The 27,773-nt window shown below is 40.8% G+C and overlaps 1 pseudogene across 1 annotated transcript in view; it reads left to right on the top strand.

Annotated features, from left to right (window-relative positions):
* ALMS1P1 (ALMS1 pseudogene 1) overlaps positions 1-27,772 on the top strand; it is a 40,654-nt pseudogene extending 12,882 nt beyond the window's left edge. Inside the window, exons 2-7 of the transcript NR_003683.2 lie at positions 13,280-13,350; positions 14,509-14,695; positions 15,008-15,250; positions 16,013-16,196; positions 17,042-17,105; positions 27,161-27,772. The product of NR_003683.2 is annotated as an ALMS1 pseudogene 1 (transcript). The remainder of the gene's footprint in view (positions 1-13,279; positions 13,351-14,508; positions 14,696-15,007; positions 15,251-16,012; positions 16,197-17,041; positions 17,106-27,160) is intronic.
* Position 27,773: the final 1 nt, after the last annotated feature.

A 27,773-nucleotide genomic window follows, 5' to 3' on the forward strand; every position in this document is an offset into this window, starting at 1 on the left:
AATAATGCTGTTATAAATTGTTATAGATTGTGTACACGTTTTTGTGTGGACATAATTTTTTCAGTTCTCTTGGATATATACGTAGGAGTAGAACAGCTGGGTCATATGGTAACTCTCTGTTTAACCTTTGAGTAACTCCCCAACTGTTTTCCAAAGTGGCTGTGCCGCGTTATATTTCCACCAGGATCATATTAGGGTTTCAGTATTTCCACGTCCTCGTCAATAATTGTTATTTTCTGATTTTTGATTATAACCATCCTAATGAGTGTGAAGTGTCATCTCATTGTGGTTTTGATTTGCATTTCTCTAATGACTAATAATGAGAAGCACCTTTTTAAGTGCCTATTAGCCATTTGAATATCTTCTTTGCAGAAATTTCTATTCAGATCCTATGCTCATGTTTAAATTGGCTTATTTTTGTTCTTTTATTATTGGGTTCGACGTGTTCTCCATATATTCTGAACAGCAGTCCCTTATTCACTATGTAATTTGAAAACATGTCTCCCATTCTTTGGGATGCTTTTCACTTTCGATGGTATCATTTGCAGTACAAAATTTTTAGTTTTGACAAAGTCCAATTTATCTACTTTTGTCATTTGTGTTTTTCATGTTGTGTTTAAAACTATTGCCTAACCCAACATCACACACAAAAAAAGTTTACTTCTTTGCTTTTTTCTAAGAGTATTATAATTTTAGCTCTTAAATTAGGGTCTATGATCATTTTTTAGCTAATTTTTGTATGTAATGTGAGGCAGGGGATACAGTTTCATTTTTTGCATATGGATATCCAGTTGACCCCGCACCATTTGTTGCAGAGACTATTCTTTCTTCCATTAAATTGTCTGGGGTCCTTTGCCAAAAATTAATTGACCATAAATGTAAGAGTTTATTTCTAGACTCTTAATTCTATTTCATTGATCCATATGTCTCTGCAAATGCCACCACCACACCGTCTTGTTGTGGTGTTCTTGTGGTAAATTTTGATGTGTGAGTCCTCCAACTTTGTTTTTCTTTTATAAAATTGCTTTAGCTATTTATGGGTTCTGTGAACTTTAAGATCAGCTTGCCAGTCTCTGAAAAAAAATAAAAGGCAGCATGAATCTTGGTAGGGATGTCATTGAATCTATAGTTGGAATTGGGGAGTACTGACATCTTAAAAATATTAAGACTTCTAATCTATGAACATGGGATCTATTCCCATTTAGTTAAGTCTTCTTTCATTTCTTTCAACAATGTTTATAGTTTTTACTTCTTTGCAGTTCGGCACATCTGTCATTAAATGTATTTCTATATATTTTCTTCTTTCTAATGCCATTGTAAATGAATTTGTTTTCCTAATTTCATTTCTAGGTTGTTTACTGCTAGTGTATAGAAATACAACTGATTTTTCTTACATTGATCATAGATTGTACAAGCTTGCTGAACTTGTTTATCAGCTCTAATAATTTGTGTGTGTATATGTGTGCCTTAGGATTTTCTATATAGAATACCATGTCATCTTCAAATAGAGATGGTTTTTCTTTCTAATCTTATGCTATTTTTTCTTTTTCTTTGCTGATTGCCTTTGTTTGAACCTCCAGAACTATGTTGAATAGAAGTGGCAAGAATGGATGTCCTTGTCTTGTTCCTAATCTTAAAAGGGAAAGCTTGACAGTCATTAAGCATAATATGAGGGATGAGTTATTTGTAGATGCCCTTTAACAGGTTGAGGAAGTTCCCTTCCATTCCTAGTTTGTTGAGTGTTTTTACCATGAAAGGGTTTTTTATTTTGCCAGAAGCCTTTTCTATTTCTATTGAGCTGATTATATGTTTTCCCTTTATTCTATTAATATGGTGCATTATATTGATTTATTCATATGATAAACCAACCTTGCATTCCTGAGATAAATCCCACTTGGTTTTGATGTGTAATCCCGTTTCTGTCTTCTTGGATTCAGTGAGCTAGTATTTTTGTAGTATTTTACATCTGTAGTCACAAGGGATATTGGTCTGCAGTTCTGTGATATCTTCGTCTGCCTTTGATATCAGGATAATACTGGCCTACATAGAAGGAATCAAGAAGTGATCCTTCTGATTATGTTTTTTGTATGAGATTGTGAATAATTGGTGTTACCTCTTCTTTAAATATTTGGCAGAACTTATCAGTGAAGCTTGGTCCAAGCTTTACTTTTGGAGAAGTTTTCTGATTATTAACTCAGTCTTTTCTCATTATAAGCCTACTGAGATTTTTTATTTCTTCTTGAATCGATTTTGATCATTTCTTTATCTAGAAATTTGTCTACTTAATCTAGGTTGTCTAATATCTTGGTATATGATTGTTCATAGTATCCCCTCATCCATTCTTAATTTTAGTGATTTGAGTCTTCGGTTTTTCCTTGGTGAATCTAGCTAAAGATTTCAGTTTTTGTTGATGTTTTCAAAGACCAAACTTGGTTTCTTTAATTTTCTCTTGCATTTTCCTAATCTCTGTTTTATTTATTTCCATTCTAACATTTAGCATTTCCCTCCTTCTACTTATTTTTGTTTTAGTTACATAGAACTTTAGTTACGTAGAGCTCATCTTTTTCTAATTCCTTTTTAAAATAATTTCAATTTTTATTATAGATTAAAGGACACATGTGCACATTTATTACATGGGTATATTGCTTGACACTGAGGTTTGGGGTATAAATAATCCCATCACCCAGGTGGTGAGCATAGTACCCAATCGGTGGTTTTTCAGCCCATTCCCTCCTCCTTTCCTCCCATCTAGAAGTCCTCACTTTGTATTATTCTCATCTTTATGTATATTCAGTGTTCAGCTCCCGCTTGTAAGTGAGAACATGCAGTATTTGGTTTTCTGTTCTTGCATTAATTGGCTTAGGATAATGGCCTCCAGCTCCATCCATGCTGCTGCAAAGGGCATGATTTTATTTTATTTTTATGTCTGCACGGTATTTCGTGGTGTATATACACTACATTTTCTTTATCCATCCACTGTTGGTGGCCACCTAGGTTGATTTCATGTCTTTGCTATTATGAATAGTGCGGGAAAGAGCATGTGAGTACATGAGATTTTTTGACAGAATGAATTCTTTTCCTTCGAATATATACCCAGTAGTGGGATCGCTGGGTTGAACAGTGGTTCTTTTTCAGTTCTTTGAGAAATCTCCCAACTGCTTTATACAATGGCTGAACCAGTTTGCATTCCTACCAACAGTGTATAAGCATTCCCTTTTCTCTGCAGCCTTGACTGCATCTGTTATTTTTTGACTTTTTAATAATCAGAATTCTGACTGGTGTGAGATGTTATCTCATTGTGGTTTTGATTTGTATTTCTCTGATGAATGGTGATGTTGAGCATTTTTTCATGTTTGTCAGCTGCTTGTACATCTGCTTTTGAGAAGTGTCTTCCTGTTCTTTGCTCCCCCTACTTTTTTTTTTTTTTTTTTTTTTTTGAGAAAGGGTCTCACTCTGTCACCTAGGCGGTAGTGCAGTGGCACGATCTTGGCTCACTGCAACCTCCGCCTCCCAGGTTCAAGCAATTCTTGTGCCTCAGCCTCCTGAGTAGCTGGGATTACAGCTAATTTTTAAATTTTTAGTAGAGATGGGATTTCGCCATATTGGCCAGCTAATTTTTTAAATTTTTAGTAGAGATGGGGTTTCGCCATATTGGCCAGGCTGGTCTTGAACTCCTGGCCTCAATTGATCTTCCCACCTTGGCCTCCCAAAGTGCTGAGATTACAGGTGTGAGCCACCGTGCCCAGCCCCTTTGCCCATTTTTACAAATGGAATTATTTGATTTTTGCTTTTTAAATTTTTACATTTCCTTACAGATTCTGGACATTAGAGATTTGTTGGATGCATAATTTCCTAATATTTTCTCCCATTCTGTGAGTTGTCTCTTGATTGATCATTTATTTTACTGTACAGAAGCTCTTTGGTTTAATTAGGTACCAATCATCAATTTTTTTATTTTGTTACAATTGCTATTCAGGACTTAGCCATAAACTATTTTCCAAAGCCAATATTGAGAAGGGTATTTCCTAGGTTTTCTGCTAGGATTTTTGTAGTTTGAGGTCCTCCATTTAAATCTTTAATGTACCTTGATTTTTTTAAATATAGTGAGAGGTAAGGGTCCAGTTTCTTCTGCATATGGCTAGCCAGTTATCCCAGCACCATTTATTGAATACAGAGTTCTTTCTTCATTGCTTATTTTTGCCAATTTTTTGAAGGTCAGATGGTTGTAGGTGTGCAGGTTTATTTCTGAGTTCTCTACTCTGTTCCATTGGTCTATTTGTCTGTTTTTGTACCGGTACCATGCTGTTTTGGTTACTGTAGCCTTACAGTGGAGTTTTAAGTTGGGTAATGTGATGCCTTTGGCTTTGGTGTTTTTGCTTGGGATTGCTTTGACTATTTGGGTTCTTGTTTGGTTCCAAATGAATTTTAGAATACATTTTTCTAATTCTGTGAAAAATGATATGCTATTTTGATAGGGATAGCATTGAATCTGTAAATTGCTTTGGGAAGTGTGGCCATTTTAACAATAATATTGATTCTTCTCATCCATAAGCATGGAATTTTTTTCCATTTATTTGTCATCTCTGATTTCATTCAGCAATGTTTTATAGTTCTCCTTGTAGAGATCTTTCACCTCCTTGATTAGGTATTTCATTTTTTGTGGTTATTGTAAATGGGATTGTGTTCTTCATTTGGTTCTCAGCTAGAACGTTACTGATGTAGAGAAATGCTACTGATTTTGTATCCTGAAACTTTAATAATTTGTTCATCAGGTCCAGGAGGCTTTTGGTGGAGTCTTTAGGGTATTCTATGTAACTCATATCATCAGCAAAGAGAGATAGTTTGACATCTTGTTTTCCTATTTGGATGCCTTTCACTTCTTTCTCTTCCATAATTGCTCTGGCTCAGACTTTCAGTACTAGAAGTGGTGAGAATGGGCATCCTTGTCTTGTTCCAGTTCTCAAGGGGAATACTTCCAACTTCTGCCTATTCAGTATGATGTTGGCTCTATGTTAGTCATAGAAAGCTCTTATTATTTTGAGGTGTGTTCCTTCAATGCCTTGTCTGTTAAGGGTTTTTATCATGAAGGGGTGTTGGATTTCATGGAAGATGTTTTGTGCATCTACCAGGCTGCTCTGGGGTCCAAGGCCTATGGAGGTCCCTTGTGGACTTGAGTGTTGCCTCCTTATACACTCTGGGCAGGCAGCTCCCTGTATCAGTCTATATGCCTGGGGGTCAGGAGGAATCTCCCATCCCAGGATTGCACAGGTCCCCGCAGGAAGTGTAGATCCCCCAGGGGCTCTCACTCACTATGGAAACCATTTAGTTGCCCATAGTAATGTGGTTGAATTCTCTTTAACTGCCTTATACATGTTTATAAGTTGCTGTTTGAATCCCCTTCCCAGGACATGACTGGTAATTGTGTGTGGTTTGTATTAATTTTGTTCCTTGGAGCTTGGAGAAGCCAGAGAGGGAGTAGGTGATTCTAGGACTCTGTGCAACCTCCTGAAGTGACATTTTTCTCTGCGATTGTTTTAAAACTCACAAACTGATGGCTGCTTTAGCAATTGCAGGGTAAGGGAAATACCTAGTTCTATGGGACGTGCCCTTGAGGTTTTGCTTTTGTACTTCTTTAAGGTGGCTGTTGGCTGCTTTGGTGGCTTCCTAGTGTACAGTAATATTGCTGGGCCTGATTTTTTTTCTAGCAAATCTTCATAATGCAGCTAAGCTATTCAGATCTAAGAGATAATTTTCTAGACATTTTTCTGATTTCTTTCTGGCTAGAAGGAGTATATGATTAATCTTCATTCAAGCTGGGGCAGAAATGCTGTTTTCTTTTTTAAACAGGGTTGCATGTCTCTAGTTGAGAAGTTTATCTCTTACCTTAGTCACCTTTTCTGTCAAAAGTGGGCTATCCGTAGGGTATTTTGAATGTAATGACTCACCTTTCACCCTCTGTATGTATGATCCTTTGTGGAGAAAGAACTGTGTATTAGCTCTAAATTTGTGATATGAGTTGAGCCCCTTCTCTGGATTCTGAAGATTCTTTTCATGTTTTGTTTGTTTGTATATTTCAGTCATGGAAGAGGAGATTCATTATACCTGTCTATTTCCTAAAATCCATCACCTGTTTTCTCAGTGTTTCTCTCTCTCCTATTTACTCAGCTTCTCTGTATCTATAGGCTGCTTCCTCTTCACTGGAACCATGCTTTAGTCATTCCTCACATGGACTGGGGAGGACAAGTGTGACAGGATGGCTTCTGTTGATGTTTCTACTGCCTTACATCTTTCTCTTTATTACCAAATATGTAATCTTTTATTAAGTATAAAGATAAAAGGATAGTTAAATATAAAGAGTTCAACAACATAGAAAATAAAAAGGCCTTGTAATTCATCCGTAATTCTCCCCATCCTGAAATAGTCCTGATTAACATTTTATATATAATCTTCCAGTTTTATATTTTATGATTCACATACCTTGTTTTATTTTAAAAAATGGAATTATACCAGGTGATTTGAAAGTCTTATTTTCAACTTTTGTTTGTTTTGAAACTGTTCATTTAATATATCATAATAGACATCTTTCTGTGTGAAATACAGATTTATGTAGTCTTTTTTATTGCTTTATGAGTTCCATTGTATACTTATACTGTTTAATTAGTTCCCTAATAACAGATATTTAAATCATTTAAAATATTTCTTTTTTATTATTATTATACTTTAAGTTCTAGGGTACATGTGTACAACGTGCAGGTTTGTTACATATGTATACATGTGCCATGTTGGTGTGCTGCATCCATTAACTGGTCATTTACATTAGGTATATCTCCGAATGCTATCCTTCCCCCCTCCCCCCACCCCACAACAGGCCCCACTGTGTGATGTTCCCCATCCTGTGTCCAAGTGTTCTCATTGTTCAATTCCCACCTATGAGTGACATAGGTGTTTGTTTTTCTATCCTTGCGATAGTTTGCTCAGAATGATGGTTTCCAGCTTCATCCATGTCTCTACAAAGGACGTGAACTCATCCTTTTTTATCACTGCATAGTATTCCATGGTCTATATGTGCCACATTTTCTTAATCCAGTCTGTCATTGATGGACATTTGGGTTGGTTCCAGGTCTTTGCTATTGTGAGTAGTGCCACAATAAATATACGTGTGCATGTGTCTTGATAGTAGCATGATTTATAATCCTTTGGGTATATACCCAGTAATGGGATGGCTGGGTCAAATGGTATTTCTAGTTCTAGATCCTTGAGGAATCACCACACTGTCTTCCACAATGGTTGAACTAATTTACAGTCCCAACAACAGTGTAAAAGTGTTCCTATTTCTCCATATCCTCTCCAGCACCTGTTGTTTCCTGACTTTTTAATGATCACCATTCTAACTGTTGCGAGATGGTATCTCATTGTGGTTTTGATTTGCATTTCTCTGATGGGCAGTGATGATGAGCATTTTTTCATGTGTCTGTTGGCTGCATAAATGTCTTCTTTTGGGAAGTGTCTGTTCATATCCATTGCCTAGTTTTGATGGGGTTGTTTGATTTATTTCTTGTAAATTTGTTTACGTTCGTTGTAGATTCTGGATATTAGCCCTTTGTCAGATGGGTAGATTGTAAAAATTTTCTCCCATTCTGTAGGTTGCCTGTTCACTCTGATGGTGGTTTCTTTTGCTCTGCAGAAGCTCTTTGGTTTAATTAGATCCCATTTGTCTATTTTGTCTTTTGTTGTTATTGCTTTTGGTGTTTTAGTCATGAAGTCCTTGCCCATGCCCATGTCCTGAATGGTATTGCCTAGGTTTTCTTCTAGAGTTTTTATGGTGGTAAGTCTGACATTTAAGTCTTTAATCCATCTTGAATTAATTTTTGTATAAGCTGTAAGGAAGGGATCCAGTTTCAGCTTTCTATATATGTCTAGCCAGTTTTCCCAGTACCATTTATTAAATAGGGAATCCTTTCCCCATTTCTTGTTTTTATCAGGTTTGTCAAAGGTCAGATGGTTGTAGATGTGTGGCATTATTTCTGAGGGCTCTGTTCTGTTCCATTGGTCTATATCTCTGTTTTGGTTACCAGTACCATGCTATTTTGGTTACTGTAGCCTTGTAGTATAGTTTGAAGTCAGGTAGCGTGATGCCTCCAGCTTTGTTCTTTTGGCTTAGGATTGTCTTGGCAATGCGGGCTCTTTTTTGATTCCATATGAACTTTAAAGTAGGTTTTTCCAATTCTACGAAGAAAGTCGTTGGTAGCTTGATGGGGATGGTATTGAATCTATAAATTACCTTGGGCAGTATGGCCATTTTCACAATATTGATTCTTCCTATCCATGAGCATGGAATGTTCTTCCATTTGTTTGTGTCCTCTTCTATTTCATTGAGCAGTGGTTTGTAGTTCCCCTTGAAGAGGTCCTTCACATCCCTTGTAAGTTGGATTCCTAGGTATTTTATTCTCTTTGAAGCAATTGTGAATGGGAGTTCGCTCATGATTTGGCTCTCTGTTTGTCTGTTATTGGTGTATAGGAACGCTTGTGATTTTTGCACATTGATTTTGTATCCTGAGACTTTGCTGAAGTTGCTTATCAGCTTAAGGAGATTTGGGGCTGAGGCAATGGAGTTTTCTAAATTTACAATCATGTCATCTGCAAACAGGGACAATTTGACTTCCTCTTTTCCTAATTGAATACCCTTTATTTCTTTCTCCTGCCTGATTGCCCTGGCCAGAACTTCCAACACTGTGTTGAATAGGAGTGGTGAGAGGGCATCTCTGTCTTGTGCCAGTTTTCAAAGGGAATGCTTCCAGTTTTTGCCCATTCAGTATGATATTGGCTGTGTGTTTGCCATAAACAGCTCTTATTATTTTGAGATATGTCCCATCAATACCTAGTTTATTGGGAGTTTTTAACATGAAGGGCTGTTGAATTTTGTTGAAGGCCTTTTCTGCATATATTGAGATAATCATGTGGTTTTTGTCTTTGGTTCTGTGTATATGATGGATTACATTTATTGATTTGCATATGTTGAACCAGCCTTGCATCCCAGGGATGAAGCCAATGTGATCATGGTGGATAAGCTTTTTGATGTGCTGCTGGATTCAGTTTTCCAGTATTTTATTGAGGATTTTTGCATCAATGTTCATCAGGGATATTGGTCTAAAATTCTCTTTTTTTGTTGTGTCTCTGCCAGGCCTAGGTATCAGGATGATGCTGGCCTTGTAAAATGAGTTAGGGAGGATTCCCTCTTTTTCTGTTGATTGGAATAGTTTCAGAAGGAATGGTACCAGCTCCTCTTTGTACCTCTGATAGAATTCAACTGTGAATCTGTCTGGTCCTGGACTTTTTTTGGTTGATAGGCTATTAATTATTGCCTCATTTTCAGAGCCTGTTATTGGTCTATTCAAGGATTCAACTTCTTCCTGGTTTAGTCTTGGGAGGGTGTATGTGTCCAGGAATTTATCCATCTCTTCTAGATTTTCTAGTTTATTTACATAGAGGTGTTTATAGTATTCTCCGATGGTAGTTTGTATTTCTGTGGGATCGGTGGTGATATGCCCTTTATCATTTTTTATTGCATCTATTTGATTCTTCTCTCTTTTCTTCTTTATTAGTCTTGCTAGCGGTCTATCAATTTTGCTGATCTTTTCAAAAAACCAGCTCCTGGATTCATTGATTTTTGGAAGGGTTTTTTGTGTCTCTATCTCCTTCAGTTCTGCTCTGATCTTAGTTATTTCTTGCCTTCTGCTAGCTTTTGAATGTATTTGCTGTTGCTTCTCTAGTTTTTTTAACTGTGACATTAGGATGTCAATTTTAGATCTTTCCTGCTTTCTCTTGTGGGCATTTAGTGCTATAAATTTCCCTCTACACACTACTTTAAATGTGTCCCAGAGATTCTGGTATGTTGTGTCTTTGTTCTCATTGGTTTCAAAGAACATCTTTATTTCTGCCTTCATTTCGTTATGTACCCAGTAGTCTTTCAGAAGCAGGTTGTTCAGTTTCCATGTAGTTGAGCGGTTTTGAGTGAGCTTCTTAATCCTGAGTTCTAATTGGGTTGCACTGTGGTCTGAGAGACAGTTTGTTATCATTTCTGTTCTTTTACATTTGCTAAGGAGTGCTTTACTTCCACCTATGTGGTCAATTTTGGAATAAGTGCGATGTGGTGCTGAGAAGACTGTATATTCTGTTGATTTGGGGTGGAGAGTTCTATAGATGTCTATTAGGTCTGCTTGGTGCAGAGCTGAGTTCAATTCCTGGATATCCTTGTTAACTTTCTGTCTCGTTGATCTGTCTAATGTTGACAGTGGGGTGTTAAATTCTCCAATTATTATTGTGTGGAAGTCTAAGTCTCTTTGTAGGTCTCTAAGGACTTGCTTTATGAATCTGGGTGCTCCTGTATTGGGTGCATATGTATTTAGGATAGTTAGCTCTTCTTGTTTAATTGATTCTTTTACCATCATGTAATGGCCTTCTTTGTCTCTTTTGATCTTTGTTGGTTTAAAGTTTGTTTTATCAGAGACTAGGATTGCAACCCCTGCCTTTTTTTGTTTTCCATTTGCTTGGTAGCTCTTCCTCCATGCCTTTATTTTGAGCCTATATGTGTCTGTGCACATGAGATGGGTCTCCTGAATACAGCATACTGATGGGTCTTGACTCTTTATCCAATTTGCCAGTCTGTGTCTTTCAATTGGAGCATTTAGGCCATTTACATTTAAGGCTAATATTGTTATGTGTGAATTTGATCCTGTCATTATGATATTAGCTGGTTATTTTGCTCGCTAGTTGATGGAGTTTCTTCCTAGCATTGATGTTCTTTACAATTTGGCATACGTTTGCAGTGGCTGGTACCGGTTGTTCCTTTCCATATTTAGTGCTTCCTTCAGGAGCTCTTGTGAGACAGGCCTGGTGGTGAGAAAATCTCTCAGCATTTGTTTGTCTGTAAAGGATTTTATTTCTCCTTCACTTATGAAGCTTAGTTTGGCTGGATATGAAATTCTAGGTTGAAAATTCTTTTCTTTAAGAATGTTGAATATTGGCCCCCACTCCTTTCTGGCTTGTAGAGTTTCTGCTGAGAGATCAGTTGTTAGTCTGATGGGCTTCCCTTTGTGGGTAACCTGACCTTTCTGTCTGGCTGCCCTTAAGATTTTTTCCTTCATTTCAGCTTTGGTGAATCTGACAATTATGTGTCTTGGAGTTGCTTTTCTCGAGGAGTATCTTTGTGGCATTCTCTGTATTTCCTGAATTTGAATGTTGGCCTGCCTTGCTAGGCTGGGGAAGTTCTCCTGGGTAATATCCTGCAGAGTGTTTTCCAACTTGGTTCCATTCTCCTCATCACTTTCAGGTACACCAATCAGACATAGATTTGGTCTTTTCACATAGTCCCATATTTCTTGGAGGCTTTGTTCATTTCTTTTTACTCTTTTTTCTCTAAACTTCTCACTTCATTTCATTCATTTGATCTTCAATCACTGATTCTCTTTCTTCCACTTGATTGAATCAGCTACTGAAGCTTGGGCATCTCTCACATAGTTCACGTGCCATGGTTTTTAGCTCCATCAGGTCATTTAAGGTCTTCTCTATGCTGTTTATTCTAGTTAGCCATTCATCTAATCTTTTTTCAAGGTTTTTAGCTTCTTTGCAATGGGTTCGAACATCCTCCTTTTGCTCAGAGAAGTTTGTTATTACCAATCATCTGATGCTTACTTCTGTCAACTCGTCAAAGTCATTCTCCATCCAGCTTTGTTCCATTGCTGGAAAGCAGCTTTGTTGCTTTGGAGGGGAAGAGGTGCTCTGATTTTTAGAATTTTCAGCTGTTCTGCTCTGGTTTCTCCCCATGTTTGTGGTTTTATCTACCTTTGGTCTTTGACGATGGTGATGTACAGATGGGGTTTTGGTGCGGAGGTCCTTTCTGTTTGTTAGTTTTCCTTCTAACAGTCAGGACCCTCAGCTGCAGGTCTGTTGGAGTTTGCTGGAGCTCCACTCCTGACCCTGTTCACCTGCGTATCACCAGCGGAGGCTGCAGTACAGCAAATATTGCAGTACAGCAAATGTTGCAGCCTGATCCTTCCTCTGGAAGCTTTGTCTCAGAGGGGCACCCAGCTGTATGAGGTGTCAAGTTGTCCCCTAATGGGAGATGTCTCCCAGTTAGGGTACTCGGGTGTCAGGGACCCACTTGAAGAGGCAGTCTGTCCGTTCTCAGATGGCAAACTCCATGCTGGGAGAACCACTACTCCCTTCAAAGCTGTCAGACAGGGATGTTTAAGACTGCAGAAGTTTCTGCTGCCTTTTGTTCAGCTATGCCCTGCCCTAGAGGTGGAGTCTACAGAGGCAGGCAGGCCTTGTTGAGCTGTGGTGGGCTCCACCCAATTCATGCTTTCCGGCTGCTTTGTTTACCTACTCAAGCCTCAGCACTGGCGGACACCCCTCCCCCAGCCTCGCTGCCACCTTGCAGTTTGATCTCAGACTACTGTGCTAGCAGTGAGTGAGGCTCTGTGGGCATGGGACCCTCCAAGCCAGGCGTGGGGTATAATCTCCTGGTGTGCCGTTTGCTTAGACTGTTGGAAAGGTACAGTGTTAGGGTATGAGTGTCCTGATTTTCCAAGTACCATCTGTCACGGCTTCCCTTGGCTAGTAAAGGGAATTCCCCTACCACTTGCACTTCCCGGATGAGGTGATGCCCCACCCTGCTTCGGCTCACACTCCATGGGCTGCACCCACTGTCCAACAAGCCCCATTGAGATGAACCTCGTACCTCGGTTGGAAATGCAGAAATGACCTATCTTCTGCATCCCTCATGCTGTGAGCTGTAGACTGGAGCTATTCCTATTCAGCTATCTTGGAACCCTCCGGTGGTTTTGAAGTTCATCACTTTTTTTAGCTATCTCCAGGCCTCCTTATCTCACATGAAAATTATATGCAAGTGTCACTTCAGAATTTCCTTCTGAAGATGCATCAGACTAATGTTTGGCTAGCATTCTCTTCAGAGTTTTTCCAGGCCCAGTGAAAATAGCCAGGCTTTTTTTGTCTTACCACCTTACAACAAACAGCTTAAGTCCTATCCAACTACTACATTCTCCCAACACAGATACAAGGCAGCATGTTCACATTATCTCAAGCTTCCTCCAAATACATCTCAACAGTTAGAATTGGATTAGAAAGAGGACTTGTTGGCTTGCTTATCCTGTGGGTAACTGTGACATTGACTGCAGGTAATAATAACAAGATCTCTTTTATTTTTCTAGGTGGCAAACCATGTGATTTCTTCTGACTCTATTTCCTCTTCTGCCAGTAGTTTCCTGAGCTCGAACTCTACTTTTTGCAACAAGCAGAATGTACACATGTTAAACAAGGGCACACAAGCAGGTAATTACTTGAATCTGAACTTTTTCATTGAAATACATTGAAATGGCTCTTAAACATATAAGATACTCAACCTCAATCATAGTAAAGGACATGAAGTTAAAACTATATCCAACTGCCAATTTTCATCTTATCAGATTGGCGTAAATTCAAGTGTGATGGCAAGTTTGTGGGCAAGAGTGTAGGGAAGTGTGTTCCCTTGTATATTCCAGTGGGAGTAGAAGTTGGTTTACTGTGAAAGACAATTTGACAGGTCCTGTCAAAATTACTTTCACTCAGCATTTTTACCTTTGAAATGTCTGCTATAGATATACTATGAATATGTGGATTTTAACCTATAGATATACTTGCATATGTGCAAAATAGTGTACAAAATTAACCACTGAAACATTGTTTTTTATAGCAGAAGATTAAAATGAATTTAGGTATTCCTCAATAGCTGAATGATTACATAAATTATTGTATATCTGGATAATGAATGAAATTCTACATAGAATGAGGAAGCTCTCTCTTTACTAACGTGGAAAGATCTCCAAGGCATATAACTGATTTTAAGAAAAGGTACAGAACAGTGTATGGCATACTACAATATGAGTTTTTTTAAATAAAAGAAATAAAGGAGGGAAGAGAATTGCTTAAATGTGCAAAATGAATTCTCTGGAACCATATGGGGTTGTGAACAGAGTAAATGGAGACCAGAAGTGGGAAGGAGGATTTTTAGCTATTGCCTTTCTATACTTTTGGTTTCATAAAATAAAAATAAATAAACTTTCTTGATTTGTTTCTTCCCCTCAAATCCTGTCTTTACTTCTGTCAACCTCTTCCATACCTGGGTGACTACCAAAAGGACTCTAAGTATTTATTGTCTTTCTGCCTTGGGATCCAGGTGGAAATTCTTTACCCTTTGAACCCATATTCATTCTTCTTTCCCTCTCATACCTAAAATGACTTACAAATAAAACCCTTTCTTTTTTCTTCTCCCTCTTTTTCCCTCCTACTCTCCCCTGTCCTTCCTTCTTTTCCTCTCTCTTCCCATCACTCCATCCCACACAAAGGGATTGTATTTTTGAAACATTAAAAAGGTTCACATACTCACTTGAATAAACCTGTCAACTCAGCCTCAAGGTTACTCCCAGAGACACCTGTGATCCTTCCCCTCAGGTAACTTGGAGATTGTGAACGGTGCCGAAAAACACACTCGAGCCAACTCCAAGTTCCAGCGAGGCTAAATTGGAAGAGGACAGTGATGTGACTTCTTGGTCAGAAGAAAAACATGAAGAGAAAATGCTCTTTACCAGTTATCCTGAGGACAGAAAGTTAAAAAAGAACAAGAAGAATTCCCATGAAGGTCAGTTTCTCATTCCAGATCTTGTAGTAGAGAAACTAGTGAATTTCAAGTCCCCTGCAATGCTGACTCTGTGTTTCCAAGTGATTCTATGTGACCCCCACCTACCCCCAGTCACCACCTTGTCAGATTTTCGAAGTCCAGCATGGCAGTTACACAGTCATCCCTGCAGTGAAACCAAACTCAAGGGCACCCTGTGGCCGCTGACAGCTGAGACCCCTGAGAGCCTGTATTATATGCATCTCCTTGATGAAAGCCAGGTGGGGCTGTAAAAAGTGAAAATTCTGTTTTACTTCTAAAAACTATTTCCTGTAGGAGTTTCCTGGTTTGTTCCTGTGGAAAATGTGGAGTCTAGATAAAAAGAAGGAAAACATGCTCAAGACTCATGACCCTGGCATCTCCCGGTTGGAACCAGTAACCAAGACCAAGCCGTGGAGGGAGCCACTGTGGGAGCGGAACTGGCAGGGGCAGCACCTGGACAGTCGGGGCTACCTGGCAGGCCCAGGCAGAGAGGATGGCAGAAACCCACTGAAGCTGTTTGTGAGAGCAACCCTGCAGGTGCAGTGACGTTTACTTAACTTTAGCCCTACATGTAGGGAGAAGAAGGGTAAGGCGCAGAGAAGCTGGCTCTGTGACTTGGCGAGCTGAGGTGTAGGCCTGAGACGCTCTTTTCCAGCACCTCCGCAGTTCACCTGTTTTCACACGTGAGGACTGAGTTTCTCATCATCTGTCAAAGGCTGCCTTACTCTTAGCCATAGATGGTGCATCACTGTCAGGATCTGGAGACAAGGGCACAGGAGGGAGGATTTGTGGCTCTGCTCATTGGGTTTGTGGGTCCCTGTGTGTGGAGGGCCCAGAGGCCTGATGCTTGTGCAGCCTCATGCATGTTCCTCCATGTCCGCAGCTCCTGTTTCTGCTCCATGTCGGATTTAAAGGAAACCAAGTCTCTTCTGATGTGTCCCTCTGGGGATAAAGGAAAAGTTATTAATGATGTATTTGTTTGAATAGATCTTTAAAATAGCAGCATGGGCAGAGCTGTATTGCGTTGATGTTTCAGAGAGTTGTAATCGCCATAGTCTTAGTTCCTGGCCTATGCTGAAGGCATGTCTTTGATCCCTGTGGGTTCCAAGCTGCAGCTCTCCGCCATAGAGAGGTGTCAGAGGTTTCTTCAACTCTAGGTATTTTCTCGGCATTTGAATCAGGCTTCCCCAGACCTCTTGGGTACGTGGTGTGTTTCCAGCCATATGGAGAGTAGATTGCATCATTAATCTGAGGCTGGGTATTTTCTCTCTCTCTCTCTTTTTTTTTTTTTTTTTTAAGGAATCGCTTCAGTTTCACAGACCTGACTTCATCTCCCACATTGGGGAGCGGATAAAGCGTCTGAAGTTAATAGTCCAGGAGAGAAAGCTGCAGAGCATGTTAAAGAGCGAGCGGGATGCGCTATTCGACATTGACAGGGAACGGCAGGGCCACCAGAATCGCATGCGCCCACTACCCAAGAGAGGTACGCCCTGCCCGTTCACTTTCCTGTGAGTGGAATAGAGAAGGCAAGGTCTGCTGCTGTGCTGCAGAGCCCTGCTAAAGGCCAGCCCAGGCCAGTTACCTGGGCAGACAGCAACCTTTTGCTTGCCAAGACTCAAACCTTCTTAGCTAACAGAACCTCCCCACCTTAGCCGTCAGCACATTCATGATCCAAGTAAGCCCAGTTACTCTAGCCCTGTCACTGCATCTTAAACCAGCTCTGTCTGTGAGCAAGTTAGTTCCAAAAGTATATTGATTTTTCCTGAAAAGATGGGGCTGATTCCAGGCTTGCCTACCTCTTAGGATGGTAATAATGATAATAATAAACACATAGTCCTTACATCTTGCCCAGGCACTGTTCACATTAGCGCTTACAGCACTCTCAGTAGGTACTATTAATATATCTACTTTATAGTGAGAAAACTGAATCAAAGGGAGATTAACTACCTCTCCCAAGGTGACATACTCAGGTGTGCTGCTCTGGAGTCTGCATTCTTAACAATTATGGTAAGCAGATCTTGATAAAATAATGAAAGCTGTGAAAACTACAAAGTACTATCTAATTCTTTCATCAAGCCTTACCTGGAAACTGGCCAGTTTTTTAATTCAAAGCCTAGTCTTTGCTACAGAGTGTTAGGTCCTTAGGGCCTTAGGCTGCTGTCCTGTTACCCTAGTCTAACCCTGGCTTGCCTTGGTCATTGCTCCCCACTCAGTCTTGCCAGCTCAGGGTAGGGGCACCAAGTCCTAGCAGCTCCCTCTCCCAGCTCTTGCACCACACCCTCTGGGTTAAGTCACTGTCCACTGAAAACCCTTTCTTCTCTTCCTTAGTCTTCCTGGCTGTCCAGAAGAACAAGCCTATCAGCAAGAAGGAAATGATTCAGAGGTCCAAACGGTAAGACCAAGAAAACAAGAGTTTGTGTACAAGTGTTAACCAGGCCACCAAGTGGTCAGGAGCTCTGGCTTGCACCCAGAATAAAGGCATTATGCTCAAATTTAAACATTATGAGAAAGTTGTGAGAGTCATTTCTCACTTATGGCACTGAAAAAAAAAGTAGCACATCATGGTATGAATGACTCATATGCAAAAGATGAAAAACTTCTCATTAATTTGCATATCTTAGGCTCCTCTTTATTAACCTAAATGTAAATAAAGAATATTTTAGGCCAGGTGCGGTGGCTCACGCCTGTAATCCCAGCACTTTGGGAGGTCAAGGTGGATAAATCACTTGAGGTCAGGAGTTCGAGACCAGCCTGGCCAACATGGTGAAACCCCGTCTCTACTAAAAATACAAAAAGTAGCCGGGCGTGGTGGTGCACGCCTGTAATCCCAACCACTCAGAAAGCTGAGCCGGGAGGATCCTTTGAACCTGGGAGGCAGAGGTTGCAGTGAGCTTAGATGGCACTACTACACTCCAGTCTGGGTGACAGAGCGAGACTCCATCTCAAAAAAAAAAGATTATTTTAAAATAAAATTAAATATGTATTTGGGTTATTATACCTTTTATCTTAGCAATCCCATTTCTTGGAATTGATCCCATAGGGTGAGAAAGAACAGTGTTCTCCAGAACATATTAAGTTAAACTTTTTTAAAAAATTAAATTTTCGAAGTATGTCAACACTGTTTCCATTTGTGGTCTTTAAAAGTAAGTATTTGTGCCTATGTAGACGTGTATACTTTTATATGCATAGAATATTTCTGGAAGACAGAAAAACCTGATAATACTGATTGCCTTTGGAAAGGAGAACTGATGTAGGATGTAGTAGATTTTTTGACTTTTTGAATGTTGTGTCATGAGGAACGAACATTAGTTACTCATAAATTAATTCATTTGAGTGTTGGATGTGGTGGTACATTTCTGTAATCCTACCTACTCAGGAGTCTTAGGTGAGAGAATCTCTTAAGCCCAGGAATTTGAGACTGCAGTGAGCTATGATCACACCATTACGCTCTGGCCTGGGTAACAGACTGAGACTCTGTATCTAAAAAATAATAAATAATATTTTAAAAAATTAATTCATTTCAGATATTGATATATTGATCATGGGAATGCCAGAGAATAAGTTAAGGTTGACTTTTTTAGGTGTTCATTAGAGACTTGCTTTAATGAGAATAGTTTCTTAGTTGGCATAATGCTTCTGAAGTAAAGGTACTTTAAAACAGTTTATCTTACGGACTTTAAGCATTCCTCTTGAAATCTTGTTTTTACTCTTTCTAGTCAGTCTTTATAGGCAATCCAAAGGGATGCTTTGGATGCTTTAGTCCAGTGGTTCTCAGAGAGTGGTCTGTGGAGTCCTGGAAGTCGCTGAGACCCTTTCAGGCAATTTGCAAGGTCAAAACTAATTTCAGAATGACACCAGGATGTTCTGTGCCTTTTTTGCTGTGTTGGCTATTTGCACTGATGATGCAAGAGTACTGGGAGAGGAGTAAAACCATTGGTGTCTTACCACTATTCAAGACGGTGGCACCAAACCGTACTAGTCTAATAGGCATTGTATCCTGCACAGCCTCCCGCCAGGAGTGTGATGGAAGAACAAGGAAGCAGTGTAAATGGAGGTAAACGGGAAGCACTTCCTTTGCACCGTGAAAGATGATGACTGTTTCAAGGAAAAGCACTTATGCCATGGTTTGTGTCGTGAGCTGAACCAGCTGCCTTTGTCATGGAACATGACTTTTAATTGAAAGAGTAACTGACAGAAAACCAATTATTCTGACTTGTGTTTAGCAGACATTTTCTTGAAAATGAAGAAGTGACTCTCTGACTTCAGGAAAATGTCTGACAGTATCTGTTGCCAAAGAAAATGTGAGTTTTCAAGCCAACAATAGAATTCTAGAAAACTTGTATTCACCACCATGGGCTTGATGACATCTTAGTACTTAGACCTTTCTGACGAGATAGCAGTGACATTAACAAATGTGACGTTTTTCATGTTATCTAAATACATTTGTCAACATTTGGAAGATCTGCACAACTCCCTGGACCAGGATTTTCCAAATGATTGTTGCTTTTTGTTACAAAATCAGGGAATAGATAGAAGATTCAAATAGTACAAGATAGACTGATGGATTTTTATGTAACAGAATAGGAAAAGTTTGCTGACATGCTTTCAGATTCCACCTTGCAACTAATTTTTAAGAAACTACCACTTGTCAGCCAGGCACAGTGGCTCACGCCTCATAAAATGAGTTGGAATGAAGTTTTTCTTTCTTATTCTCTAGAAGAATGTAATGTAATTTATTGCTTAAATAATTAGGAGAATTCACCAGTGAAACCCATCTGGGCCTGGATTTTCTTTTGTGGGATTCATTTTTTTCAATAACTATTCAGATTTCAGTTTTTCTTTTATGCCAAGGTTTAGTAAGTTGTGTTTTTTACGTAATTTGTTCATTTCCTAGAAATTTACAAATTGATGATCCAATGTTATAATATCCTTTTGTTATCTTTTTTTTTTTTTTTTTTTGAGACGGAGTCTCGCTCTGTCGCCCTCAGGCTGGAGTGCAGTGGCACGACCTCGGATCACTGAAAGCTCCACCTCCCAGGTTCACACCATCCTCCTGCCTCAGCCTCCCGAGTAGGTGGGACTACAGACATCCGCCACCACGTCTGACTAATTTTTTGTATGTTTAGTGGAGACAGGGTTTCACTGTGTTAGTCAGGATGTTCTCGATCTCCTGACCTCGTGATCAGCCCTCTTCGGCCTCCCAAAGTGCTGGGTTTACAGGCATGAGCCCCCGCACCTGGCCCTTTGTTATCTTTTTAATGTCTGGACGTTCTAGGATCTGTAGTGATGTTCCGTTTTTATTCCTGATATTATTTTTGCCTCCTGTCATTTTTACCTGATCACTCTTTCCAAGGGGTATATAAATTTCACTAGTATTGTCAAATAACCCACTTTGGGTTTTATTGATTTTTCTCTATCGTATATTGGTCTTATATTGATTTTTTGTTGTTTATTTTGGGGCCGTAGCAGGAGCCACAGCCAGCTCCACATAGTTCAGAGGGCCTGGCAAGTATGGAGGAAGACCCTTGCTTTCCCCTGGAGGTGCTGAGAGTTTAATTCCCGAGGAAGTAAGGGGATTATTTCCCTGTATTGGCAAAGGTTCTAGTTTTTGAGTAGAACTAGAGGACCTCACTTCTCTTGAAGGAGAAGTAGAGAGGCTCCTCCTCATTCCCTTCCCTACAAGTCCCCACGTGACTGATTCTTCCTCTCCAGGGGCTTCTAGAATTAGCAACATTGTTCCCTTTGATCCTTTGGCTGATTACATATCCTGCATTTCTTCTGTAGGGCTGGGTGTTGATAGAGGGCCATAAGACATTATACATAAGGTATTTTATCCCATTTACCTTGTTTCTTACAAAATAAGTCCCAGTTGGAGAATTGTAGTATTAATGTATGTAAGTAACTCATGTTCAGACCATCTCTCTTGATTCCGTAGGGAACACTGGGGCCATATGGTATTACAGTAATATATCATTTGCTTTTTGGTCATGGATATGGGTATCCAAATAGTTTCCAGTGCTGGAGGAGGCACTGTAACGGGCTCTCCTCCAGTATTGAGACCTGGTTCCCCATATTCTAGGGTCTTTGCCCAGAAGGCTGATTCCACCCTCCAAGAAGCTTCCACTGGGGATTAGTGATGACACAAATCCTGTAACTCTTAGCCTGTAGGATATTTCTGGTCCTTTCAGCTTGCTGCTACACGCAGGCCACTATGGAGTGGAGGTGCTGGGAAGCTAGGAGAGGACAATAGGGGTTGCCTCTCCCTGGATCATGTTCAGTCTGGGTAGCTTCCCTGGAAATCTCATGGAGATTCCACAGTAGTTCCGGATCCAGCTTGAGTGGTGGGAGGTATGTAAATCAATCAAGTAAGCAAGGTGTTCTTTCTGGAGAGGGTGCACACTCTGCTCATGTAAAGTCTACATCACTGTATTTTGGTTCCAGGAATTCCCACCCAAACTGCCCCATTCTAAATTAGGCCTCTTCAAATCAATAACAGTTCTTCTGTGACTGCTGGAATATGGAAGCCCAATATTTTAGGGATTACCACAGACTAAGGAGAAGGGAATCCAGACTTCACATGCATTCAGGCCACAAAGAAACACAAGTATTGGCAAAAGTGACAAGCATTCAGCCTACAGATATACCAGACAGGGACAAAGTCTTAAAGATGAGAGTCCTCGTCTTTATATTAGGGCTTCCCCTGTTAAAATGGATGGAGACATCTCTCAACTCCTAGACCTGAAGGGGAGTCCTGCCCATTCCCAACAGTCCTGGATCCCTTGAGCTAGGTCCTAAACCTGACAACCCAGAGTCCTAATAATCAAAACCAAAACCACTCTTTTAGTCAGTTCACAGAACCACCACCACTTACTGCCTCAAAATTGCACCAAATGAAAGGTCCAAGCAGCCACTTCTGCTTTCCTGGTGGGCTGGGGGGATGGGGTTGGCATGCCTGAGGCCCTTCACCAATCTCCCTCTTGGCAACTTAACCCACTCATGCTTCCTCAGACTGCTGCTTCGCCTGTAAGCAGCCTATAAGGGAGGTCGAGTCAGGGCTCAGTCCATAGTCCCATCTGGATCAACCAGATTTGTTTCCCAGGCCCTCCCACCCCACTGCCTCCAAAAAAAAAGCGGGGTTTGTTTGCCTGGTGAGTAACAAAAGTCGCTGAGAACACAGACTTTGATCAATAGGAGTTTTATTACTTGTCACAAGTAGGAAGAGCTCTGGGAATATTCGTCAAAGCAGTGTCTCCTAAGAGAAAATGACAGGAAGGCTTTATAGAGTGATCGAGAGGGGAGAAGGTGCATCATCACATGAAGAGGAGGGGTCCCAGTGACACAGATGGAGGGAGTCATCGTGCCACCACATAGGACGCATGCTATGGTAATGAAACTATAGCTCTCCCAGGGTGCAGGATTTAGCATTGTAATGAGGAAAGTTCACTGTAAGTGAGTTCATCTATAAGTTGCTGGGGTCTGTCAGGAGCAGGTTCCAACTGACTAGGTGACCACATTTCACACAGGGTTTGAGACAAAACCGTCTGCAAGGCAGAAGGCTGTAAAACGGGCTAATTGCTCAAATTCATTAAATTCCTTCACTCCCTGGGGGCCCGCCCTGTCTTGTCTATATAGCCAGTCCTTAGGAAGTGAGGCCAAGCTGAACTGTTGACACAGTCTATGTCTTTACGAGTCTGGGAGCTGGGTGATTTTACCTCTGATGCTAGACTTATTTTTACTGGTTTTGAAGCCTTGCTTACAGCCCTTTCCCAGTTTCTCACGAAATACTCATGAAAGGGGATGGTGGGGAGTGGGCATGGGGAAAAGGGAATGATATTAAAATTAAAGCTAACATCATTGGCCTCTAGGGGGCACTCATGGCTCATCTCCATAGCCCTTGGCTCTTGCAGCTGCCCAAGATGAGAGTCCTGATCTAAGGAAACTCCACCACCACCAAGGCTGGGGTGGTGGCAATGGGGGCATTATTTTCCAAACCTGACTAGGCTACATTTTAAGGGGATCATAGTCACAGAGAACATAGATGTGGACTATTAATTTTCTTTGCCTGAGCAGCCGTAGCCCTATGTGCTCCTCTCCAGCCTTTCAGGGAGCTATGATGGGCCAAAAAATGCTCAGTAGCCCAAGCCATCTCCTCCATAGACACTGGAGTAAAATCTCTGCCTATGGGTGTGTGTGTCTTGTCTTACTCTATCCTGGATTTGTTTCCTCCAATGCTGGTGGCTTTACTTTAGATAGTCTGATTGTTGCAGAGATGAGACCCAAGGCTCCACTCTGGAGAAAATAGAGCCCTCTTGAGAGGTCAGCCCAACTTGCTAGACTTCTGCATGGGGCTTGGGGTTCAATGTTCCAGCCTGTCCCCAAAAAGTCATGGCCAAATTCACATATTCCTTTGATCCCTGATGGTGTCTCATCACACAGTTCGTCTGGCCTCACCATTGCTCCACTAAGTCCAGGAACCTCAAGGAACTATGAGACAGGTAGGGCTAGACTTAACAAAATGGCTATCACAGTCTTCATTTCATGAGACAGAGGTGAACTGAGAAAAGGTGGAAGGTGCTTCAGAGACTTCTCTGTATTCATCCCTAACTTAGGCAGAGAGCCTTGGCCACACAGGAAACTGGGGAAGACCCCTCTCTTACTCAGGAGTCCCCCACACTGGTGCCATCTTATGACAGGCAGGCATCAGCTTCAGAGCCAGTCAAACAGTTAGGAATAGCAAACATTGCTCCAGAATTTGTTGGGGTTTTTTTTCCCCTGAATTTGATAGTAAGCTCCACATAGGCAAGAATGACAACCATCTTGTTCTCCTTGTTTCTCTGGAGTCTAACACAACATGTAGCACGTGGTTGGCCCAATAAGAATTTGTCGAATGGGGGCCAGATGTGGTGGCTCATGCCTGTAATCCCAGCACTTTGGGAGGCTGAGGTGGGAGAGTCGTTTGAGGCCTGGAGTTCAAGATCAACCTGTTCAACATAGTGAGACCCCTATCTTCTTTTTTTTTTTTTTTTTTTTAAAGTGGAGTTTGTTGAATGGCACACAGAAAATAAACAATCCAAATGACAGATCAGAGGTGCTGGAAAAGACCAGGGAGATCTAATCGTTAAATCACGTCATCTAAATATTAAGAGGAGACATTTGGACATCTGATAGAATTTGGCATTGAATAAGTGATAAATACACAGAAAACTGAACAACGGCAAAAAGAAAAGTATCAGTTCTAAGGGAAAAGATACAAATCAAAAGCCTTCAGGAAAGGATAAGTCATCATGGCTTACTGTATAGCTTAGCTTAAAATAACACAGAATAGTGAAGTAGCCCAAAGGGCCATCTAACCACACTGGGAAGCTGAGCAGGGGAGGAGTGCGTATATGCATGGAGGAGACTTGTCTTCACCCTCCTCAGCAGCTGACAGCAGGCAGGCTAGACCTGGACAATGGAGCAGGAGTCACACAGCCTGTGAAAGAAGTGCTGGGGAATGTAGGGGCTGCTGTTTCACATGACAGAGCCATTGAACCCTGGCTGTTTATAATAGTTACATACATAATTTTAATAGAAATAAAAACCAAAAAGAAAAAAGACTTAAACATGAAAGGCAAAACCATTACAATTTTTAGAGGAAAATATAAGAGAGTAAGAACAGAAAAATGTCTTAAGGCACAAAGTGCTAACCATAAAGAAAAAGATTGATAAATTCATCTTGATAAATTTTTTGTTTATCAAAAGGCACCATAAAGACAGTGAAAAGACAAGGCACAAAATGGGAGAAGATAATTGCAGCACATCTGACCAGCAAAGAATTTGTATCCAGAATATATAAAGAACTTCTATGAGTCGGTTTTTTAAAAACACAATTTATATTTAAGTCTCTTTAAAACAAATAGACAATTCATAGAAATATGGTGATATGGTTTGGCTGTGTCCCCACCCAAATCTCATCTTGAATTGTAGCTTCCATAATTTCCACATGTTGTGGGAGGGACCCAGTGGGAGGTAATTGAATCATGGGGGCAGATTTTTCCCATGTTCTTGTGTTAGTGAATAAGTCTCATGAGAGCTGATGGTTTTATAAAGAGCAGTGCCCCTGCACACCCTCTCTTGCCTACCACCACATAAGATGTGCCTTTGCTCCTCCTTCACGTTCTGCTGTGATTGGTCCGCATCCAAATGTCATCTTGAATTGTAGCTCCCATAATCCTCATGTGTTGTGGGAGGGACCTGGTGGGAGGTAATTGAATCATGGGGGCAGATTTTTCCCATTTTCTTGTGATAGTGAATAAGTCTCATGAGAGCTGAGGGTTTTATAAAAGGCAGTTCCCTTGCACAAGCTTTCTTGCCTACCATCATGTAAGATATGCCTTTTTCATTATAAGTTACCCAGTCTTGGATATTTCTTCACAGTGGTATGAAAATGGACTAATACACATGGGCTAAACTCATGAGCAGGCAACTTTATAGAAAAACACAAATAGCCCATAAACATAAAATGTAGATTGAGTTCATTATTAATTAGGGTAATGCATGTTATGGATAGAATAAAATACCTTTTTACATTCACTGGATTGGCACAAAGTTTTGTCTTTGTGCCACTCTAAATGTTGACAGGGATGTTGATCAACTGGAATTCACACACTGCTTGAGGAAGCTTGCATTCACTCTATAATTCAGCATTCTGAAAAGTGCTCACCAATAATCAGCCCAGGAAGGTTCACAAGGACATCTTCACCAAATATGTCCTTTCACCCTAGCAAAGAACTAGAAACAACTCAAGTGTCTTTTGACAAGAGAATGAGTAAATGGCAAGTGGTATGTCACGCAAAAGAATTCTAGACAGAAGAGAAAATTAAGGAACATCAAACTTAGTGAATCTTTGAGACGATGTTGAGTAGGAAAAAAAATTCAGAAGAATATATTGTATGATACTTTTATCATAAGGTTTAAAAGCAAGCCAAGGTAAACATGTGCAGGGACACCTAGGGACCCATGTCATTTTAGGATCAAACAGATAGATGGACAGATGATAGATAGACAGACAGATGGATTTTTTTAACTCAAAATAGTGGTTACATCCTTAGGGAGCTGGGATTGGAGAAGAGACACTTAGCTTTGAAAGTATTGTCAAATATAGTGACCTTTCTAGTTCATTTGGGTGCTGGGTTCAGGGGTATTCATTTTATTATGCACCATAATTTATGTGAGACATTTTATTATATCAAATATTTTCTAATCTTACAGTAAGCAGTTTGGTAAACAGATTCATAACTGCATATAATGTGTAGGTCTTGTGAACAATGCTGCTGTGAATATCAGGACCCAACTGCACTTGTCTCTCACTGCCTTTTGTAAGCCTGCTCAATTGGGGAGTTCTTCCCCTTATACTGGAGATGAGAACTCAGGTAATGCCTCGACTGTTCGGATCACTGTCAGGGGATTACATGTTCTACCGTGCTGACTTTTCACTGAAAGCCCAGTCTCCACTCAATAAGTAAAAGTGTAATAATCGAAACTCCCAATTTGAGTTCCACTTAAAATCTTCTCTCTTCCCCTGCCAGACCTCTCTGCACCATCTAGGGGAGCATAGTCCCCTCTGTCCCTGCCTGACAGGGCTCTCCTCCTCAGCAGCACAGGGAGGTGTCTGACCCATCTGTGTGTGTGTGTCTATGTGGTGGGGATGGGGACCATAGCTTGGCATCCTGCCCTCTCACCCTGGCAGTTCATTGTCTCAAGCTGACTTTCTTGGGTGTTTTCATGGCTTCTTCTGAGGCCTCCCTCTGGAATATTGGATCGTAACTCCAGCAATGCAAGCAATAGGTTTTCCTCCAGCTTCTGGTCCTCCTCCTCCTCCTCCTCCTCCCCAAACCTGGTTTCTAGCAGTCACTCCACTGAGACTCAGAGTCTTCTTGGCCCAGTGCCAGCCTCTTGCATGTCCCAAACCTTGTCCTCAGGAAACACTTATGCATCCTATGCTGGGGTGAACTCTTAAGAGTGCAGGATCACCTCATGGCCACAGCCTAGCTAGGCCCTGAAACCCACACTCTGGGTTTGTCAGACGTGAGTCAGCCCCAGGCCACTGAACCTCTCCCACTGCAGGGAATCCCTGTCAAGTGGTGAAAGCCAGCATCTAGACCTGGAGTCACAGGCACCTGTAGCATAACTCCTCCTGAAATGGAGGTTTTTCTTTAGAGATTGGTCCATATCCCTTATCCCTGGACTTCTGAGAAGGGTGGACAACCTGTGGACTGGACTTGAGTCTGGAATTTAGAGAAGTGTCCATAGTAGGGCTGCCAGATGAGGCAAACACAAATACAGGATGCCCAATTAAATTTGAATTTCAGATAAATGATTTTTAATGTTTGATTCTGTCCCATGCTAAAAATTGCCCACTGTTTATGATAAGTTTAAATTTATTGGTCCATTCTGTACTTTATCAAGGACACACGCAGGAGGAACAGTAGCACAAAGGCTTCCCGGTGCCTTGTGGGTGAAAGAAAGGCTTCCAGGGAAAGGAGAGAAACACCCAGGGATCCCGGTGACGTCGGGAAGCAGCACCCAGACCATGTAAGGACACCGCCTGCAGGGGGAGACTCAAGGCCTGGGAAGGTTTTCTAATCTGTGCCTTGAGTCGGGTGGGGGGATTTTCTGGGAAAGGAAAACCAGACACAGTAGGACAAATATTGTATAGTTTCACTTATATGAAATTGTCAGAATAGGCAAGTTCGTAGAGACAGAATGTAGAACAGGGCTTTCCGGGGGCTGGAGGAGAAGACAAGGAGTTCTTGCCTAGTGGGTACAGAGTTTCTGTTTGAAATGATGAAAAACTTCTGGAAATAGATTGTGGTGACAGTTACACACCATTGTGAACATAATTAGTACCACTGAACTGTACACGTTAAAATGGTTAGTTGTATGTTTTATGTATTTTGCCATAATAAAAACTAGGGGGAAAAAAAGGAAGGGGAGATTGTCTCAGGCTGGCTGACTTTCCCTGCATGTACGCACATCTTCACATGTGCACACATGTAAAACAAAAATGAAGCAAAAAAAG

The sequence above is a fragment of the Homo sapiens genome, chromosome 2 (genome assembly GCF_000001405.40).
Source record: "Homo sapiens chromosome 2, GRCh38.p14 Primary Assembly".
NCBI classification, from domain to species: Eukaryota; Metazoa; Chordata; class Mammalia; order Primates; family Hominidae; genus Homo; species Homo sapiens.